Below are 21213 nucleotides of genomic sequence, written 5' to 3' on the forward strand. Positions count from 1 at the left end.
GGGAAGAAAAAGAAACAGGGTGAACGGGAAGTTACAGAAGCAAGATTTCTGTGACTGTAACTGGATAAATAGAGAGTTTGGGAGGACGATAAGTGTTTTATGTGATTTTTAAAAATTAAAGTAAACTGAAATGAATGAGTCTTCCTGCATATAAAGTGTGTGGCATAACCACATAAAGCAAACAATTACTTAAAGTGGCTTTAAAACGCAGCATTTTGACTATACATCCCAAGTGAGAGATATGCTATGGACAATAAAAAAAAGGAAAAGAAAAAAGGAAAGAAATCATAAATGGCATTCAGTAGCCATATATTAGTATTGACATTTTTATTAAATTACTATGTTTCCATCATTAGGAACCATAATTTTCAGTATAAAAATGACATAGCATAAAATCAAGGAAGTTTAAGTAAAAATCTTGTAATCTTAAAAGTGAATTGGAAATTGCAGTATGAACTCACATTGTGTTTTACTCTTTAAAAAATACATATTTTCTAGTTCTGTCCACTGAAAAGACCCAGAAGCAATGAAAACCCAGTAACAATGAGCACACTTCCACGGCTGAACTCTCTAGATAACATTTACCAATGAAATTGGCTGATTCTAAGTCTAGGGCAAAAAATGTACAAAAGGAGACTGGATACAAGTCTCTTATTGTACCAGAAAGTGAAGGAGAAATCAAAGACTAATGAGGTCACGTTAAAGTGATACAGGACGACACAGGGCCTGCCTGCAGCAGCTGGTCAATAATGAAGGGATTAATCCATGACTGCAAGACTCGTGGGAAGGAGGGAGTGGGGACTGCAGGGAGGGTCCTAGTAAAAGCAGGGTGGGCCTCGATGAGCACAGCATGGACAGTGCGATTTAAATCCCATCGCTTGTGGGCAGGAGGAGTGAGGATGCCAGAACCTAGTTATCCCCCACCATCCCACGCTCTCCCAGGAGGCGGCGGCAGGAAGTGCAGTCTACAGTAAGGGAAAGCCGCCGGAGCTGGAGACAGGCTGGAAAGAGCAGGTAACAGCCCACAAGGAGCGGGGGCCCTGGCTGTCAGACTCAACTTGCAGGACCATCAAGTGCAGGTGTGGTTCAAGAACCGGGGCCGCTTGCTCTGCGGTAGCAACGGCACATAACCGCAGCGATGACCAGGGCAGCCAAGCCAGCAGCCGGGACCCCGGGATGCTCTTGGCACATGATCCGACTCCCCTGCCTTTGCGGGTCCTGTACTCCCGCGAGGTCCAGGATTGTGCAGCCCCTCCCCAACCGGCCGTTGGGAATCTTCGCAGCAGCAGAACCCGCTGCCTCCAGGTCCGACCAGACCTGCATAGGTAGAGAGTCCCCGCACAGGGCGGCCAGCAGAGCTACCCAGCTGCCCCAGGGCCTCGGGACCCCTGGGCCTGGGACCCAGGCCAGACCCTGACTCATTCGGTGATCTCACAGGACTCCTCCCACCCCAAGACCCTTTCAGGGACCCTGCCTCGAACTCCACGACATGGGAGGCAGGGGCGGGCCTTTTGCAGGGGAAGGACTCCCCCAGCAGGACGTTTACTGAATCTGGAGGGAGTCGCCCTGCAGATATCCCGCGGAAGCCGGAGGAGACCCAGGTGCGCCCCACCGGCTAGCTGCGCCTGCGGGTGCCCAAATTGGTGTCCGGGCCATCCTCACCGCAGTGACTCCTCCGCAGCGCCAACGCACTCCATTTTCCTTCCACCCTGCCGGTGGGGGGCGTTTGCTTGTTCTCACTCTGCAGCCGCAGCCAGTGGCGCCGCTACCAAGGTCCCCGCCTCGCCATCCGGGTCCTGCCTGAGCATCCTTATTGGTGCTCAGGGCTAGGCGTGCATTGCTGCTAGGGGCGCGGAAAGGTTTATCGTGGGTGGATGCTGCCCGGGGCTTGAGTGGTTTTTAGAGGTCTTGAGTGGCTCACTCTCCAATCAGCGCTTTCTAGAGACAGCGTGGTCAGCGTACTTGCTTACTTTCAGGATTGCGAGACGTCTTTAACCCTTGCTGATCGGCTGACGCTGCAGCTTCCTGTGGCTTCCTGCTCATTTCCCGCAAGATAGCACTGATAGGGTATTGGAAATCCTTATGTAAAGTATCTGTTCACTGTTTTTGCCCATTTTCTTGATTTATTTGAACTGATTCTTCTATTCTTTTGAAGTTAATGTGTTGCAATTTTCACATCTATGTTGTTTTTTCATTAGTGGCATTTCTCAACTCCTTGATTTCTTGAATTTCATGTTGTCTATTTCAGTATGTATTAAATTATCTGTGACGGTGGACCAGTTTTGGTTTGTCTGTTTGTTTTATTTCAATCAATGGCACACTGAAATGCTCAAACATTAAACTGTTGAAAAAATTTAATGGCATTCGCAACCTAAGCCCACTCTCTCCCGCTTTTTTTTTTTTTTTTTTTTCAGAGTCACTCTGTCGTCCAGGCTGGAGAGCAGTGGCACAATCTCAGCTCACTGCAACCTCTGCCTCCCGGGTTCAAATGATTCTCCTGCCTCAGCCTCCAGAGCAGCTGGGACTACAGGCACGGCACCACCATGCCCGGTTAATTTTTGTATTTTTAGTAGAGACGGGGTTTCCCCATGTTGGCCAGGCTGGTCTCGAACTCCTGGCCTCAAGTGATCAGCCTGCCTCAGCCTCCCAAAGTGCTGGGATTACAGCCATGCGCCACTGCCCCCAGGCTAAGCCCCACTTTTTTAATCAGTAGAGTAAGCAGACATCAAATACATTGAGGCAGGGAGGCAGGCAGGCAGGCAGGCAGGAAGGGAAGGAAAATACACTGTCAAATTGACATAAAAGTTTCTGAAAGTTGAGTTTTCAATGCATTTACTTGCCCAGTCACGAACTGAAAACAGAGTGTGCAGATGGCACTGGTCTCAGGTCTCTCAATACAACTTTAAAAATACCTCAGTTTATCTTATTTTCCCGTTCTAGAGTTAATAATACTTTTTATCTTTCTTGTTTAAGAAATTTTTCACTATTAAAAGATAGTAAAAAAAAACAAAATATCAAAGATACTAAAAGATATCAAAGATATTCAGCTTTTTTCCCTAAAATCTTTAGCTTTACCTTCCATATTAAAGCCTTTAATACATCTAGAATAGATTATGGCGTGAGTTGGGATTCCAGTTTTTTTCCCATGGATTTCTATTGTCAATTTATTGAGAAGCTTGTAATTTACAAGATCATAAACCAAAGGTCTATTAATGTATGGGTCTGTATCAGAAGCCTATATTTTGAGTCAATCATCTGTATGTCTATGATCAAAAACATGCTGCTTAATTACCATAGCTTTGAAATAGGTCTTGATGTGTGGTGATTCAATTCTCCCACCTTATTCTTTTAAAATGTGGCTTGGCTTGGCCTTTTGCATTTCCGTATACATTTTTGAATGCATATATGTATACACACACACACACACACAGACAGACATATACATACTACACACACACACACGATTCAATTTGAAAGGGCTCCCACTGCCCTAAGATGGGATCATTGAGCACCAAAAAGTCAAGTGATTGAAATGGAATGAAGCATAACAAATATATAAAACTCCGTGAGTTATAATAACATTTCTAAAACTCTTTGGTCATCACTGGAATTTGTTAGGACATTAACACATTACTCTAAAATTGGTGAAGGGACAAAAATCAAGCATTCATTCTGTCCTCCTCTTCAAAATTATATTTTAGAGGGGCCAAAGAGTTGATAAGGTAAAAATTTTTTTAAGAGACAGGGTCCCACTGTGTTGCCCAGGCTGGCCCAGGACTCCTGGGCTCAAGGGATCCTCCTATCTCAACCTCCCAAGTAGCTGGGACTACAGGCGTGCACCACCACACCAGCCAATTAGGTAAACTTGATGAAGAAGCTTGCAGTGGGGGGACAGGTGGACCCCCACTTGAACCTACTAATCAATCTTATCATCACTAAAAGTAGAACAAATATGATGAGTCTCACTGATGGGACCCATTAGAAAGTGACAGCGCCACCTAGGAAGTGTTCTTGCCTTAAAAAGTGAACCTAAATCTAATCAAGTCTCTGGATCTAACCACCAATTTATAGGAAATATGAGGCACAGCAGAATAAGTATTAAAAGCCCTCTAGGCTGCAATCAGCAAAATCCAGGATAAGGGCCATTCTACAGATCCAATGAACCAGTTTCTCCAGGGAACCAGTGGCATCTACAAATAATAAAGAATAAAGCAAAAAGAACAAAGGATATTTAAGATATACCAAACAATGTATGGGTCTTGTTTGGATCTTGATTGAGACAAAATAACTCTGAAAGACCTTTTTGAGAATTTGAACGTTAATTGTGTACTAGATGATATTAAGAAACGAATTTAATGTTGATAGGTGTGATAATGTGTGGTGGTCTTGTTTTTTAAATGCTCTAGTTAATTAAAGATACATACTGTGGTATTTACAAGCAAAGTGGCATACTGTCTGGGATTTACTTGAAAAGACTCCAGTTTAAAAAAAATAATGTGAGAGAAGAGGTAGGTCAAGTAAAGATGACAAAATGTTCATAATTATTGAAATTGGGGAATATGTACATGAGGTTCTTCATTACATTATCCTCTTTTGTATATGTTTTAAATGTCCCATATTAAAAGTCTTTTATTGTTTTTAAATTTTAAAATCTATAATTTCTTTTTTTTATTTTACTTTAACTTCTGGATACATGTGCAGAATGTGCAGGTTTGTTACATAGGTATACATCTGCCATAGTGGTTTGCGGCACCTATCAACCCGTCATCTAGGTTTTAAGCCCCACATGCATTAGGTATTTGTCCAAATGCTATCCCTCCCCTTGCCTCCCACCCCCTGACAGGCCCCAGTATGTGATGTTCCCCTCCCTGTGTCTGTGTGTTCTCATTGTTCAACTCCCATTTATGAGTGAGAACATGCTGTGTTTGGTTTTCTGTTCCTGTGTTAGTTTCCTGAGAATGATGGCTTCCAGCTTTATCCATGTCCCAGCAAAGGACAGGAACTCATCCTTTTTTATGGCTGCATAGTATTCCATGGTGTATATGTGCCATATTTTCTTTATCTAGTCTATCACTGATGAGCATTTGGATTGGTTCCAAGGCTTTGCTACTGTGAATAGTTGTGCAATAAATATACGTGTGCATGTGTCTTTATAGTAGAATGAAAGTCTGTAATTTCAAAAGGCAAATAAGATACTAGGACAAATATTTGTATTTTATGTGATAATCACAGGTTAATGTACATTCTAGATATAGAGTTCTTATGAAAATGTTAAGATACAAGTGAACACTCTGAGAGAAAGATGGGTTAAGAACCTGAAAAGACAATTTACCAAATCACAAATCACTAATAAACTTTAAAAAATTAAAGAGAGTCACTAATTATTAAAGGAATCAAATCAAAGGAGTGACAAAATATTATTTTTAGATCATTGCAGTGTAATGAGAAATAAGCACTCACACATTGCTGGCTGGCTTGTTCACTTTCTGTAAGCTTTTTGGTGGATAATTTGGCAATGTGTATCAAAAACCTTTAAAAAGATGTACTCTGGGCTCCTTGGAGAAATGGCTGGATCTAGAACTGAGGCAAGAAATATGTTTCCTGGAGCATCTTATAGTGCCAGAAAGTAAGAAAATATATATATATCCCACAATGATGGGGGCCTGGCAAGGGACGAAAGAGTCAATTGAAAGAGCTCCCATTGTGAAAGCTGGAACAATTTAAGCCAAAAAAAAAAAAAAAAAAAAAGCATTCAGTTATAACCCAGAGTATAAGATCAATAACCCTGGGTCCATTCTGATATAAATGAACAATTGAATACATAAATAAATGAGAGATAACAGAGAAACATCACGCAGACACATTCCAAAAAGTTTGCGTAATACCTCTGCCTCAAGAAGACGGAACATTAAGTTCCCACCCCATAAGTGTGAGTGTGCGTAGTGACTTCCTTCTAGAGAGCACAAGGTGGAAAGGGGTAGAGAGGGAAAAACTAAACACTATCTCAACCAGGTGACCAAGGTCAACACCAACAGTAAAAAGCCATGTTGACACTATGCACCCTTGATAGAAGGGAAGAAAATGTCACTTTGCCTCAGTGGTCTTCAATCCCAAAACACCAAACCCTAACCTAACCATGAGAAAAAACACCAAACAAATCCCACTTGAGGAACATTCTGTAAAATGACCTGACCCTTCAACACTATCAAAGTCGTCAAAAGCAAGAGAAGTCTGAGAAACTATCACAGCCCAGAGAAGCTAAGGAAAAGTGATGACCACACATAGTATGGGATCCTGGATGGGGTCCTGGGACAGAAAAGGGGCATTAAGGAAAAACTAAGGAAATCTGAATAAAGTATGGATTTCAGTTAATGATAATGTATCAGGGCCCAGCACAGTGGCTCACGCCTGTAATCCCAGCACTTTGAGAGGCCAAGGCAGGCAGATTGCTTGGGTCCAGGAGTTCGAGACCAGCCTGGACAATATGGTGAAACCCCATGTCTATAAAAAATATAAAAATTAGCCAGTCATGGTGACACAGGTATGTAGCCCCAGCTACTCAGGAGGCTGAAGTGGGAGAACCACTTGAGCCGAGGAGGCAGAGATTGCAGTGAGCCAAGATCGCACCACTGCCCTCCAGCCTGGGCAACAGAGCAAGACCTGGTGTCAAATAAATAAATAACGTATCAGTATAGGCTCATTAATTGTAACAAATGAATCCTACTAATATAAGATGTACATAAGAGAAGAAACTGGATGCAGGTTATATGGGACTGCTCCCATACCATCTTCATAATTTTCCTACAGATCTCAAAGTGTTCTAAAATAAAATGGTTACATTTTTTAAATGTATGCCCTTTGTTCCAGCAATTCCATTTTGGAAAATTTATCCTGAGGAAATAAATAAAGATGTAAACAGAGAATAACTTACAGATGTGACGTTTGTGATCGTTAAAACTGGAAACAGCGCAAGAGTGGACGATAGGGGATGAGAGAGCCACACAGCGCATAGAAGATGATCAGTCTGAAGAGAGGGTTTTCAGACATGCAATTAACTGCTATTCACTGTACTTCATTTTAACTGCAAACTAGCAGGTAAGTGTTAATCCATATTTTAAAATATACAGTAAAATATAGATAAATGGACCTCAAAGAACATAGAGGAGATATTTACCGAGGCTGTCCTCACTTGGGGCATTTTCTGGTTTTCCTGGAAGGAGCAAGCTGAAATGTACAGGAAGGAAATAGACTAGTCAACTTGAGTGAGTGTGCTCACAGCTCACATCGATTCTCATTGGTCAGTGCTGGAGCTTGATTGTCGCTGCCTGTGCTGTTTTGGTTGTTGAGAACTTTTAAAATCACTTCTGCAAGAAGGAAAAAAGCATATTCATTTTTAAAAAATCATTATAGTATTTAATTCTGTGCCAACTCCTCCAACACATTCAAGATAATTTTTTTTTTTTTTTTTTGGAATGCAGTGGCACGATCTCGGCTCACTGCAAGCTCTGCTTCCTGGGTTCAAGCCATTCTCCTGCCTCAGCCTCCCAAGTAGCTGGAACTACAGGCGCCCACCACCACGCTCAGCTAGTTTTTTTTTTTGTATTTTTAGTAGAGACGGGGTTTCACCGTGTTAGCCAGGATGGTCTCGATCTCCCGACCTAGTGATCTGCCTGCCTCAGCCTCCCAAAGTGCTGGGATTACAGGCGTGAGCCACTGCGCCCAGCCCAAGATAAAATTTTATTTGTGAATGTTCCGGGCAACTTCACAGAAAAACTAGGGAAATAGAAAAACCAAGTGTACATTCCTACAGGAAGCCGCAAGCCTGTGTCCTCAGGCAATGTCCCCCTCCACTACCACCCCTCTCTGACCCCACTCTCACCAACACTTTTAGTCTCTTTCCCCAGGAAAAAAGAGGTCAACTCGGAGGAGCCAGGGATTCAGCCCACTCTGGACAACACTCAGAGCCATGGCACCTACCTGTATGAAAAAAAATTGTTAAGCAGCTGCCACTCCTAGTTACTGGCCTCTGCTCGGTGACTGATGCACTTCTAACATCCTTGTCCCAGGATAAAGACCTTGTAATGGAGAAAAAAGATGGCAGGGATCCTTTCCATGGAATTTCGGCTGTTGTCTAGTGGACCTTCCAGGAATTGTCTGATTCTATGGGAGTGCGCAACTTTGACTGTTCAGTTGGGCCAATTGGCAACACTGTAGAGACGGAAACTAACTTGTGGAGGGCTGAGGGTGATACAGACATTTTCTGTCCGTGGTAATGCAAAAGGTGTTCATAGCAATGCAAATGGATTTTATCCAATGGGGGAGATAAATATTTGAACGGGCTCTCTTGTTAATTACTAGTTAATCAAAATATTTGACATGTATTCATTCTATATTTATAGGGGAGTCATGATTCTACCTTTTTGGAAATGACCCTCTAGCAGTTTTATTGGTCCTATGAGATACACAGTAGATTCACCAGCCAGAGCCAGATGAGCTGCACAGTTGCCAAAGGGAACTTCAGATGCCACCAGAGCCTCAGCTCTGTCCTCCCTCACCTCCCAAGGTGACTTCCAAGCAGCCACAGAACTTTAATTTTACTTACTCTCTGTTTCTCTAGTTTTATTTTTCTAATCTTTACTGAATTTGTGTCTGTGGTTTTATTTCTGGTTTATTCCTGACTATAAGTTATTCCCTATTCTTGACAACAGTGATTGAGAATTTGGTTTTTGGCCTGACCATTTAGTCATCTCTGTAGATGGATGACACAGATCTAATTCCTTTCAAGTGAGAGACAACAGGAAATCCGGTTTGTTGGTCCTTTCTTGTTTGTTTATTTTGAGCTCCAGTCAGTTAGAAATTTAGTGCCCGCTGCAAAGCACAGCTCTTTGAGACTTGGGATTGGTAAGAGGGTGTGTTGCTTACTTCTGGCCTGTGGCTGAATTTGCAGGGCCAAAGCCAAAATCTCTCCATATGTCTGTCATCTGTGATCCATGTGTCTGCAAGTCTATAACTGAGAAAAGCCTTGATTCCGTGATATGTGAGTGTGAAATAAATTAATAAATTAGTTATGTCTCTTAAATCAAAGGAGCTCTGTTCTTACTAGTTTATAGGAAAAAAGGCACTTATATATCTTATATATCTCATATTTCTAGCTTCTAGTGCTTTCAATGTGTTAGGCTTTTTAAAATATCCTTCATACAGAAACTGCTACCTTAAATACATTTTATAAAACCAAGTTCCTGTAACTAAGGTAAATCTGTGGCAAGTCAAACTAGCTTAATAATTTTGGTTTTTAAAAAACAGATTGGTCTTGTCTTTGATTTACAGTGTTAAGTATAATTCAATTGTGTATTTGATCAAATCTCTCATGAAGAGAATAATCTGGTCTTCTTAAATAGTTTATCAAAAAGATAACATTAGTCTAATACAATGTCACTATTATGAAAACTGAATATTGGTATTACTCTAAATTGAATCACTATTTAGACACATCCGTTACCTCAACCTATGTTTTGTAGTATAATTTATCCAATTAAATAAATGTCCAAGATCTTTAGATAACTTAGAACCTGGAATCTTCAGATAAATCAGAACCTGACCCTGAATGGAGTTAATTAATAGATAATCATCAGATACCTAGATAAACGAAGTAGGATATAACACTAAAACATGGATTGCTAAGCCTACTTTTAGGCTTATCCACTTTTGCTCCTTATTTTTATATTCTGCAGAAAGCCTGGATCTTTGAGTTGTGTTGATGGGCATATTCGTGTTTGCCACTTGAAGGAGTAAGAGGCCCGCGTGGATCTGGAGGCAAGTGGCTGTGCCCTCCTGCAATCTGCTCACCTGCAGAAATGCTCGCGTAGGGCAGCTCTCAATTTTCTGCCACCTCCTCAGCTTTTTCTGTGAAACAGAAGTTGGTTACTTTGGATGAAAATTATCTTTCATATAGGTGGTTGGTACACGAAGCAATAGTGACAAATAAAACTCTGTGTGCGTGCTTCTGTTTTGTCATGCAATGAAAAGTAGTTTTGTTCCAGAATATGAATGAACACAGTGAATGAAGGTCTAAAGAAGTGAATGTTATTTGCCTTGGTTTATAATACCTGAGTCTGAAAAGAGACATGAAGTAACTTAGATCTTAGCAAAGTTTCCTCACTTTTGATGGGCTTGCCGCCTTGGCTTACTGGTCACCGCCTTCATCTACAGCAGGGGTCCCCAATCCCCGGGCTATGGTCCAGCAACAGTCCATGGCCTGTTAGGAACCGGGCCACATAGCAGGAGATAAGCGGTGGTTACAGCTGCTCCCCATCACTCACAGTACTGCCTGAGCTCTGCCTTCTGTCACGGTGGCATGAGATTCTCACAGGAGTATGAACCCCTATTGTAAACTGTGCATGCAAGGCATCTAGGTTGTATGCTCCTTATGAGAATCTAATGCCTGACAATCTGTCACTCTCTCCCATCACCCCCAGATGGGACCATCTAGTTGCAGGAAAATAAGCTCAGGCCTCCACTGATTCTATATTATTGTGAGTTGTATAATTATTTCATTATATATTACAATGTAATAATAATAGAAATAAAGTGTACAATAAATGTAATGTGCTTGAATCATCCAGAAACCATCCCCCCATCCCAGTCCGTGGAAAAAATGTCTTCCATGAAACCGGTTCCGGGCGCCAGAAAGGCTGGGGACCACTGACCTGCAGCACAAAGGCTATTCTTTACCTTCCTTGTGGTCTGCCTGACAGCAAAAGTGTGTGTCTTGCCAGAAAAATTTCTGTGCCTTATGCTGACTTCATTCAGTCCTTGAGTATTTAAACAAAACAATACAAAAACTCACTTGTGAAAGAGATGATTCTTTAAACTCATGTCACCTTCTGTTTACTTTTACATTTGTTTGCATTATTAAAAGAGTAAGCAAGAATTATTTCTTCAGCACCCATGATATGCTCTGAGTCAAGTGCCTAAATCTTCTCTGACAACTCTTTTGATTTTTCCTTCTAGAGATCAGATCCTAAATATAGAAAGAGTAAAAGAAAACTTTTTATCTTGAACTAAAACATTCTTTGAAACTTCCCAGAGGGCCCCTGGAAATTCACGAGATTTGTACTTTCACCCTATGAAGCAAGAGCAAGAGAGGCCAGAAGTAATTATGTTTATTATTCTTTAATCAGCATCTGAAGAGATGCTCAGCCTCCCTAGGTTAAGTTTGTATCAGTAAACTCATTATAAATAGTTCAGACACTGCACACTTTGTAGGAAGGCCCTGAAGCTTTGCCAGTGCCCTCGTCGCCGTCCATTGTATGCTTTACCTTTAGTGAGACACTGATCAAAATGCTTATGAAATAGTTATTTCCCAGTAGAGAATCTTACTTTCCTGCGGTTGCTGTAATAAATTAACCAACAGTCAACTACCAGTAGTTTTGTATTTACTCTGATGTGCACCTGGGACTCTGCTGTAAGCCACTGGTGAGCGGCTGTGCCTTCCACAAGGGGCAGCCTCAGAGGCTCAAGAGGACATGCAGGGGCTCTAAGCTGAGGATGCTACAGTGAATCACCTCGCGGGGACACGCTCCTGAGCGGACCTCACTTAGGCCACCTTCAGATCATCCATCAGACGGAGTCATGACTTCTAGGCCTCTAAGCTCAGAGCAGAGGCTCCCTAAAAGTTCTCTCTTGACTGGATCCAGAGAACAGGAATTATTACTTAGGATTGAATGAGGCAATTTTGTCTTGGTTATTTTTTGGAATATTGCTGATGTTGCTTTGATGTTCTTTCATTTCTAGATCTGTGAGGAAGCTCCTTCTCTTCCTTTTTAACCTACAATTTAATAGACTTTGCTTTTGTCAATTGAAAAGAAACATTTGTAAAATAGTTTCTTATTTTCACTAACCCTCCAGAACTCAGAAAATGACTTAGTCTTAAGTTTTCATGGAAATATAGTTATTTTCATAAATTCAATGGAGAACTTTTCTTCTTTTGCTGGGATAAAACAGCATTAAGCAATAAGGGTTATTGTGGGGTTGTCATAATTGGAGGTGAGTCTCATTTAATCAGGTGGGATAAGCCACTTTTATACAGAATTGATGCCACAAAGCTACTGCAGGAGAACATGCTGGGCCCTTGAGTCCTAGCCTCACAGGTGGTAGGAAAGGTGGTTTCCTGCAGGCCAGGAGCAAGCATCAACTGATGTAGGGAACTTTGAGAAGCGAGGAAGCCATCCAAAGTTACAGATACATAGGTGAGAGCTGGTGGTGACAGTTCCTTGAACTCGGTTTCCCAGCAGATAAAAGAGGCTTTTATAAATCCCAGCTAAGATTTTCTATTCAGACAGGAGCGAATTCCAGGGCCATGGCAGTTGCTTAATGCTGCACAGCACTCTAGATTTGAAAGCTACAGGCCAGGTGCGGTGGCTCATGCCTGCAATCCCAACACTTTGGGAGGCCAAGGTGGGCAGATCACTTGAAGTCAGGAGTTCAAGACCAGCCTGGCCAAAATGGTGAAACCCCATGTCTATTAAAAATACAAAAATTGGCTGGGCATGGTGGCGCACGCCTGTAATTCTACCTACTCAGGTGGCTGAAGCAGGAGAATCACTTGAACCCGGGAGGCAGAGGTTGCAGTGAGCTGAGATCATGCCACTACACTCCAGCCTGGGCAACAGAGTGAGACTCTACCTAAAAAAATAAGAAAGCTAACCCAAGGAGGTCTGGAAAGTCTAGAACATTCTCACTGCACCTGTGTAAATAGGCCAAACTGAGACCCATTGTCTTGTGATCGAGAATCATTTTTGGAGACTGTTGTGATCCTGGGGCAGGGAGACAAAGATTGTTCAGTTGTTATAGGCTTTACATGGGCAAAAAACTCAGTGTCCCTTTGATGGATTCTGGGCAGTGGCTAGGGACCCTCAGGGATTGTCGGATTCCGTGGGGACACATGCCTTCAATTCTCTGGGCAGGGTTGTTCTGCAGTTCTGCAGAGACAGCATCAGCTCGTGTGGGGCTGCTGAAGATGCAGAAGTTTCCTGTTCCTAGCTATGCACATAATTCTGGGCCAAAGCAACGCACATGCATCTTGTCCAGTAGAAAATATAAACCTCTGTACATCCAGTTCTCATTTAAACTGCCTGTAACATCTTACCGCTTCCTTGTTAATTAGTTAAATAAAATGTGTAGCTTTTCTCTTTGTATGAGATGTGTGCGTATATATACGTATATGTATATGTATAATTTTTTTTTGAGACACAGTCTCACTCTGTCACCCAGGCTGGAGTACAGTGGCACAATCTTGGCTCACTGCAACCTCTGCCTCCTGGGTTCCAGTGATTCTTGTGCCTCAGCCTCCCGAGTAGCTAGGACTACAGATGCACACCACTACACCCAGCTAATTTTTGTATTTTTAGTAAAGATGGGGTTTTGTCATGTAGGCCAGGCTGGTCTCAAACTCCTGGCCTCAAGTGATCCAGCCACCTCAGCCTCCCAGAGTGCTGGGATTATAGGTGTGAGACACTGCGCCCTGCCGAATGACTTTATTTTTTTAAAAAATTGTCCTGTAATACTTCTTACTTCACACAACAACCCTGTCAGTTAAGTATTATGGCCACCATCTTATAGGAAGAAAAACTGCAGCCCAAGGCAATGTCTCACCATAAAGGCTAGATGCTTCCAGCTGGAGAGCCCAGCTCTTGACAACTCAACATCTGCCTCCAAGTTCCTGGATGCAACCCAAATATCTGCCTTTTCATTGGCCCTGTGCCCTTGTATCTTCTGGGATCATCCTCTTCTTTGCTCTCAAATAAAACTGCTCAAGGTACCTTCCTATATATTGTGAGGACTTCAATTCCTGCCCCTCTCCCTCCTAGGACCTTTTCCAGGCAGGGCTGGGGAAGGTTGCATTTCTCCCTTTGCTGGGTCAAACCCCTCTCCTCTCCTGTAGCAACTCTCCTCTTGGCTCTGGGTCAGACCTAGTGTGGAACTCAGCCAACTCCTGGAGTCCTTCGAAGGAACACAGACACGCACAGGGTGTAGGGTTAAAGGTGGGATGTTCAGCCCAGCACAGAACTAGAAGTAACTTACAACTGAGTAGGAGCTGTGGGTGTCCTACAGACTCACCTGCTGTTTGCTGCCCAGGAGATTTCTCGAGGCTTGGCCCATCTTCAGGCCTGGTGAAAGGCCATCTCCTCAGGCCCCTCTCTCCCTCCACACTCTCCTCCTCATGCTCTTCCTACCCCACCCCTTTTTGGGGGTCCTCCACCCACCTCCCTCATCTGTCCCCCACAGGCAGGGCAAAATTGTCATTCATTTTTCAGATAGAACAAGTCGCCTCTTTGGTTTCTCCCACCCAGCCCATGGGGAGGGCGGATTAGCTTTCAGAACCAATCATGCTCTCTAAGGTCATTTTTTTTCCAACAAATGACCTTGTGACTCCATCAGAGGAATGTTTTGCTTCTTTCTATTCTAATCCATTCCAACTTCAACCTGTAGGCCACTTTTCAAACAGAAATTTTCTTATTATTACACAAACACCAAATTCCCTGACAGAAGATCTTACCCCATTAGCATGGAATGTATCTGAACAACACTGCCGCTAGCCTGAAGGTGTATCCCAGCGAGGAAATTCTGGAATTTTCTGCACAGCCACAGCCTTTGTTAGAATAAGGACACACACATGGCACTCCACCTCGAAAGATGCTCACATTTGTGTGGATGCTTTCTGCTGGCTCAAAAAATTATGGACACACATCTTAAAATGTGAGATCCCTGCTGTGGGACCTCATGGTCTCTCATAAAATTCTTGTGAACAAAACAGAGAAAGATTAGCAGATTGCAGGACATCAAGGAGACATTAGACTAGCTGGGTGTGGCGGTGGGCACCTGTAGTCCAGCTACTTAGGAGGCTGTGTAGGGAAGATCACATGAGCCCTGGAGGTTGAGGCTGCAGTGAGCTACGATCACACCACTGCACTCCAGCCTAAGCGACAGAGCAAGACCCTATCTGAAATTTAAAAAAAAAAAAAGGGATAAAAGTTGGAAAAATCAACATTCTGAAAGAGAATATCTAAGACAGTGAAGGGCGAGAGTCTATCGTGGTGTGCCCCAGGCTCTGTGGGTGGAGTTTAATGATTTTATTACAGTGCATCGTGTCATCCAACCTCCTCACTTAAAGATGGGGAAGCTGGGCTAGGCGTGGTGGCTCACGCCTATAATCCCAGCACTTTGGGAGGCCGAGGCAGGCAGATTACTTGAGGTCAGGAGTTCAAGACCAGCCTGGCCAACATGGTGAGATCCCATCTCTACTAAAAATACAAAAATTAGCTGGGCATAGTAGCATGTGCCTGTAATCCTAGCTACTCGGGAGGCTAAGGCAGGAGAATCGCTGGAACCCAGGAGGCAGAGGTTGCAGTGAGCTGAGATTGTGCCACTGCACTCCAGCCTGGGCGACAGAGCGAGACTCCATCTCAAAAAAAAAAAAGATGCGGAAGCTGGGTTTGTGGTCTGTAAGTAGGCTACTGGAGGTTACATAGTGGGTTTGCCTGTTCCTCCATCTGTCCACCCACCTGGGCTCAGTCTGGATGACAGGCTTGGACCACATTAGGACACAGGCTGCTATGGCCGACTCAGAGCATGCAGAGAGCCAACAACACCCAACTGCCGGGTCAACTCTAACCAGGTGAAATGTGGCCAGGAGAAACGCCAGAGCCTGCCCTTGAGTTTTTAAAAGCTTCAATTCACACAGGCAAAAATGAAAAAGATTGCTGGGTTGGGGCGAGGGAATTATGACTCATTTTCTCTAGTTATTAGTGGACAGTGCCCTGTGGCTTCTGCAGTGAGCAGCAAGTGGCCACATGGCAGGGGCCCCAGCAGAGTGAAGCAGAGCATGTCATCCACACTCTGAGCCTGGACCCTGGCCTGGGCCACAGAGCTGCACAGGAGGCAGTGTCCGGGTGGGGTCAGAAAAATGGGCAGCTCAACTGCAGGTACACGTAGTGCGACCAGTGCCGCGACTGACAGGTGGACAAACCAGCGCACCCGGAGGAGGCAGGCCCCCCTTGGGCTGGGCCTGTGCACCCTGGAAGGGAGGGGGAATCAGCTGGGAGGGGGAGGGCACCTCAGAGATGCAGGACCACAGCCTGGCAGAGGAAAGGCAGACACTGGGAAGCAGACCCGCAGCTCATCTGGGTTACCAGGACAGGCCATTCCAGACGGGGGTTGGTGGAAGATGGGGCTGAAAAGCTGTTCAGGGGCCAGAGCTTGAAGGAGCTGGTTAAGGGATCTGGGCTTGCATGAGAAATGGAGGTTATTGGAGGGTTGGAACACAGGGCAATGAGGCCAGAAAGGAGGTTCAGGAAAACCACCCTGGCAGCCACGGTGCCCTCCAGGGACTGGCCTAGAGGAAGATACCTCAGAGGCTGCAGGCCTAACCAGGCCTGAACTAGGAGGGGCCAGTGCAGAGGGAGAAACCTATGCAGAACTCTCTAAGAGGCCAAATCTGAGGACTCGGGCAGGACATGGCAGCAATCAGGGAGGCTTCAAGCCACAAAACCCCCACAGATGTGATGCCTTTATTTGTTTCATACAAAAACAAGCCAGGAAAGAAATGGGGTTGGACTGCATACTCTCTGCAAAGCCATATCCCACCTTCTCGCTCTGCCATCCTCAGTGAGTGGCTCTTCATCCTCCTGAGTGTGGCCTCAGGGTCATAAGATGGCTGCTGCACCTCCCGCCCTCATTCCAGGCAGAAGGAGGCAAAGGCCTTTTTCTTTTTTTTTTTTTTTTTTTTGTTGTTGTTGTTGTTGAGACGGAGTCTTGCTCTGTCTCCTAGGCTGGAGTGCAGTGGTGCGATCTCAGCTCACTGCAACCTCTGCCTCCTGGGTTCAAGCAATTCTCCTGCCTCCGCCTCCCAAGTAGCTGAGACTGCAGGTGCACACCACCACGCCCGGCTAATTTTTGTATTTTTGGTGGAGATGGGGTTTCACCATGTTGGCCAGGCTGGTTTTGAACTCCTGGCCTCAAGTGATCTGCCTGCCTCGGCCTCCCAAAGTGCTGGGATTACAGGCGTGACCCACTGCACCCGGCCCAAAGGCCTTTTTCTTAACAAGGCTTTGATGTTTTCTTTGCGAAGGGATGCCCTCTCCCATCTTATTGGCCAGGACTATGTCATAAGGCCACCCACAGCTGCGAGGAAGGCTGGGAAAATGACTGACTTTAGCGGACTGCATTGGTACCCTGAACAAAACCAGAATTCAGTTGGGCAGGCGGAGGGGATGAGTATTGGGTGTGCACCTAGCAACATCTGCTCCAGGAGGAGGGTGTGGAATGAGTCCAAGGACGGCCCACACTGGACAAGTCAGCTTAGAAGCACTTCAAGTTCAAGGTGCCCACGTGCATGGGGGAAGATGGGCAGCTGGATACCTGGAGGTGAGAACACTGCCCTGAGCCACAGATTCGGGCCCTCAATTCCTAATGAAGGATGGCTTCCCAGGAGCTTCCAGGCCATCTGTGACTCTGATCCATGGAAAGTGCATGTCCTCTAGACCCGGCAGCTTGCAAGTAGGTGGAGATGCACCAGCTTCCGGGAGACAAAAATCTGTCGCCTTAGCTCTGAATGGCATCTGTGTGCCAACCTCGGCCCACCTCCAGCCTATCCTTTCCTTCAAGAAAGAGTTGTGCCCCCTCTCCAGCCACCCCCTGCAGGTCACACGGGGCAGGGACATGAGATAAGCACCCCAGGCTGATTGACAGGGGCCTTTAAGTCTCTGCCCAGCCTGGGATTCAAAGCCTCTTCGTGACAAGCCTGGAGGATGCTCTCTGCCCCTGTGCACTGGCCGTGGCTGTCTAGGAAAAGAGGAGCATGCCTTTGCCCTTCTCCCTCCAGCAGCCGATGCTCACTGTCATCGGAGGCTGTCAGGAAGGCAGCTTTCTCACCCGTTGTTAATTATCCTTTTTAATTGCGCTAAGAAGGGCCTTTCCTCAGTGATTTGCTCTTCTGCATAATCAGGGTGAGGAGTACCGGTGGCAGCAGCCCACCTGTGTTCCCGGCCTGTGTTCCACAGCGGCCCCTCTGTGGATCCCCAGGGCCTGAGAGCAGGTGGGCAAGGCCACTGTCCTCAGTCTTCCAGCCTTCTCAGCCCCATCCACCACAGCTGCTTCTTGAGGAGGGAGCTCTTCCTAAGGATGGCACTGAATAGCTCCTTGGCAGGCAGTGCCTGTGAAACCTCCTGCTTCCCTCGTTTTGTTTTTTTTTTTTTTTTTTTTTTTTTTGAGACAGAGTCTCGCTCTGTCGCCCAGGCTGGAGTGCAGTGGCGCGATCTCAGCTCACTGAAACCTCTGCCTCCCTGGTTCAAGAGATTCTCGGCTCCTGAGTAGCTGGGATTACAGGCGCCTGCCACCAGGCCCAGCTAATTTTTGTATTTTTAGTAGAGACAGGGTTTCACCTTGTTGGTCAGTCTGGTCCAAACACCTGACCTCAGGTGATCCCCCGACCTCGGCCTCCCGAAGTGCTAGGATTACAGGCTTGCCTCCGCCTTTCTTTTTTTTTTTTTTTTTTTTTTTGAGATGGAGTCTCACTCTGTTACCCAGGCTGGAGTGCAGTGGCTCGATCTCGGCTCACTGAAACCTCTGCCTCCTGGGTTCAAGCAATACTCCTGCCTCAGCCTCCTGAATAGCTGGGATTGCAGGCGTGCATCACCATGCCAGACTAATTTTTGAGGTTTTTTTGGTTGTTTTTTTCTAAGTAGAGACAGGATTTCACCATATTGGCCAGGTTGGTCTGGAACTCCTGACCTCAGGTGATCCACCCGCCTCAGCCTCGGAAAGTGCTGGGATTACAGGCATGAGCCACCGCGCCTGGCCAGCTTCCTTCCTCTTAAATGTGGTGGTCACCAGCTGCTCCGGTCCTCCTTCCGCCTCCTCTACAAGCTCTCCCAGCACCTTCGCCTCTTCCCGGCCCGTCTCTCTCCTGAGCTCCAGGCCTCCCCAGCTCAACAAACCTGAGGTCCGCTTGCCTGTTCCACTGGCTGCCCCTGCCCGAGGTGGCCTCCCAGGTGCCAGCCCCTCAACCGGGGCACCTACCCTGTGCGAAGCCAGGTGGCGGCTCCACTTCTGTCCCCGGAACCTCAAACGCACCACCCAGACACACCGCTGTGGCCGTGGCTGCTCTGCCTCCCCCAGGCTGTGCACGCATCATGGGTAGGAACCACATTTTATGATGTTATTTTCTCTTTTTCAAATTTTCTTTTAGAATTGGGGACACGTGCAGGTTTGTTACCCGGGTGTATTACGTAATGCAGAGGTTTGGGGTATGGTTGATCCCATCGCCCAAGTCGTGAGCGTTGAACCCAATGGGGAGCTTTTCAGCTCTGCCGCCTCCATCCTCTCTAGTCTAGCAGTCCCGAGTCCACTGAGGAATGCATTTTAATCTTCTCTGTAGTTCAGTGCGGGCCTGGGGAACAGCCAATGAATGAATGGATACGGAAGTGACGGAATCACCATTTGGGACACTGGATCTACAGATGCAGCACATCCCCAGCGCACAAGCCTCCAAACAGCGCAGCCGAGGAGGGGCTCAGCCGTCTACCCTGTCTCCAGCGGAGGAGCTTCTGAGACCAGGAGCGGGGGCCGTCGGGTGAGCATTCCCCTGGAACACGAAGGAGCAAACCTGCCCGGCTGCATTCCGCCCTCCCGCTGCCCTAGGCCCGCTATAGGCTGGATAAAGTGAACCAAGCAAGGGTCCCAGAAACGTCACACGTGAACTCGCCCATTCACACTCACCCATTCCCATGCACACTGGCCATTCACTCAGCCATTCACACGTGCACACATTCGCACGCACACTCGTGCACACATTCACACACACAACCATTCATACATTTACACACAGACGCACACTCGCACTCACTGACCCATTCACACTAACATTTACACTCACCCTTTCACACATATTCACACTCACACATTCACACCTATTCACATGCACACACGCATTCACATTCTCCTCACCATTCACACTCACACATTCACACACATTCACACATCCACACCTTCACACTCACATTCACACATTCACACTCACACATTCACACACATTCACACTCACACCTTCACACTCACACATTCACACACGTTCACACTCACACCCACACTTTCACACTCACACATTCACACTCACATCCACACCTTCACACTCACACATTCACACACATTCACACACATTCATTCACACCCACATCTTCACATTCACATTCACACACCTTCACACTCACACATTCACATTCACACTCACACATTCCACACACATTCACACTCACACCCACACCTTCACACTCACATTCACACACATTCACCCTCACCAACACCTTCACCCTCACACCCACACCTTCACACACATTCACACACATTCACACTCACACCCACACCTTCACAGTCACACACATCGACACTCACACATTCACACCTATTCTCATGCACACACTCGCACACACATTCACACTCACCATACACATTCACACTCACATTCTCTGACCATTCACATTCACACTCACACCTTCACACTCACATACACATACATTTACTCACATGCACACACATTCGCACACACATTCACGTTTGCCCATTCACACACATTCACACTCCCACATTTACACACATGTTCACACATTATACTCATACATATTCACATTCACCCATTCACTCACACATTTACACTCACACATTCACACACACTCATTCACACACAGTCACACATGTACACTTACAGTCACTAACAATCACACGCATCCACACACATTTACATTCATATTCACTCACACACACATTCACACATCTCCTCGCAGTTCCCATCTAGGCAAGCTACCTAGTCTCAGGGCCCTTTCTGGAAGCCACCGTGGAGTGCACATTCCCAGATCTGAGCTCCTAGAACCTATCTCCCCTTCTCCTCAGAAGCCTCACCCCGATTTTCATTCAGGTGTTCATGCCTCCCTCACCCAGTTCAGCCCACCTCCAGCTCCAGATCCTATTTGTCTTAAGCAAATCTGCAAGTGCCACCCCAGGCCACAGCAACTGGCTCAGGGTTCAATGACACACACACACACACACACACACACAAATACTTTCCGGGGTGCTTCTCGGAAGGAAGTGTGCTGGCATCAAACTCGGAACTACTCAGCCCCAAGATGAAGCTGCTGCCCAGGCGCCAAGGAGGCCGAGAGC

The 21213-nt window shown here is 45.8% G+C and overlaps 1 long non-coding RNA gene across 4 annotated transcripts, besides 1 other annotated feature; it reads left to right on the forward strand.

Annotated features, from left to right (window-relative positions):
* Positions 636–1235: an enhancer, noted in NCBI's record as "H3K27ac-H3K4me1 hESC enhancer chr2:127782155-127782754 (GRCh37/hg19 assembly coordinates)". NCBI's record gives its function as "activates a minimal SCP1, AML or CMV promoter by ChIP-STARR-seq in primed H9 embryonic stem cells {active_cell/tissue: H9 hESC(primed)}" and the evidence as "EXISTENCE:reporter gene assay evidence [ECO:0000049][PMID:30033119]".
* On the forward strand, positions 1285–11417 carry LOC105373604 (uncharacterized). 4 transcript variants are annotated; one of them, XR_001739696.3, is made up of 4 exons: positions 1285–2067; positions 6868–7095; positions 7892–8563; positions 9732–11417. It is a non-coding gene; the product is annotated as an uncharacterized LOC105373604 (long non-coding RNA). The 4 variants fall into 4 exon arrangements; XR_001739695.3 differs by having other exon boundaries at positions 7892–11417; XR_001739697.3 differs by having other exon boundaries at positions 7905–11417.
* The last annotated feature ends 9796 nt before the right edge of the window (positions 11418–21213 follow it).

This window comes from Homo sapiens, chromosome 2 (assembly GCF_000001405.40).
Source record: "Homo sapiens chromosome 2, GRCh38.p14 Primary Assembly".
Taxonomy (NCBI): Eukaryota; Metazoa; Chordata; class Mammalia; order Primates; family Hominidae; genus Homo; species Homo sapiens.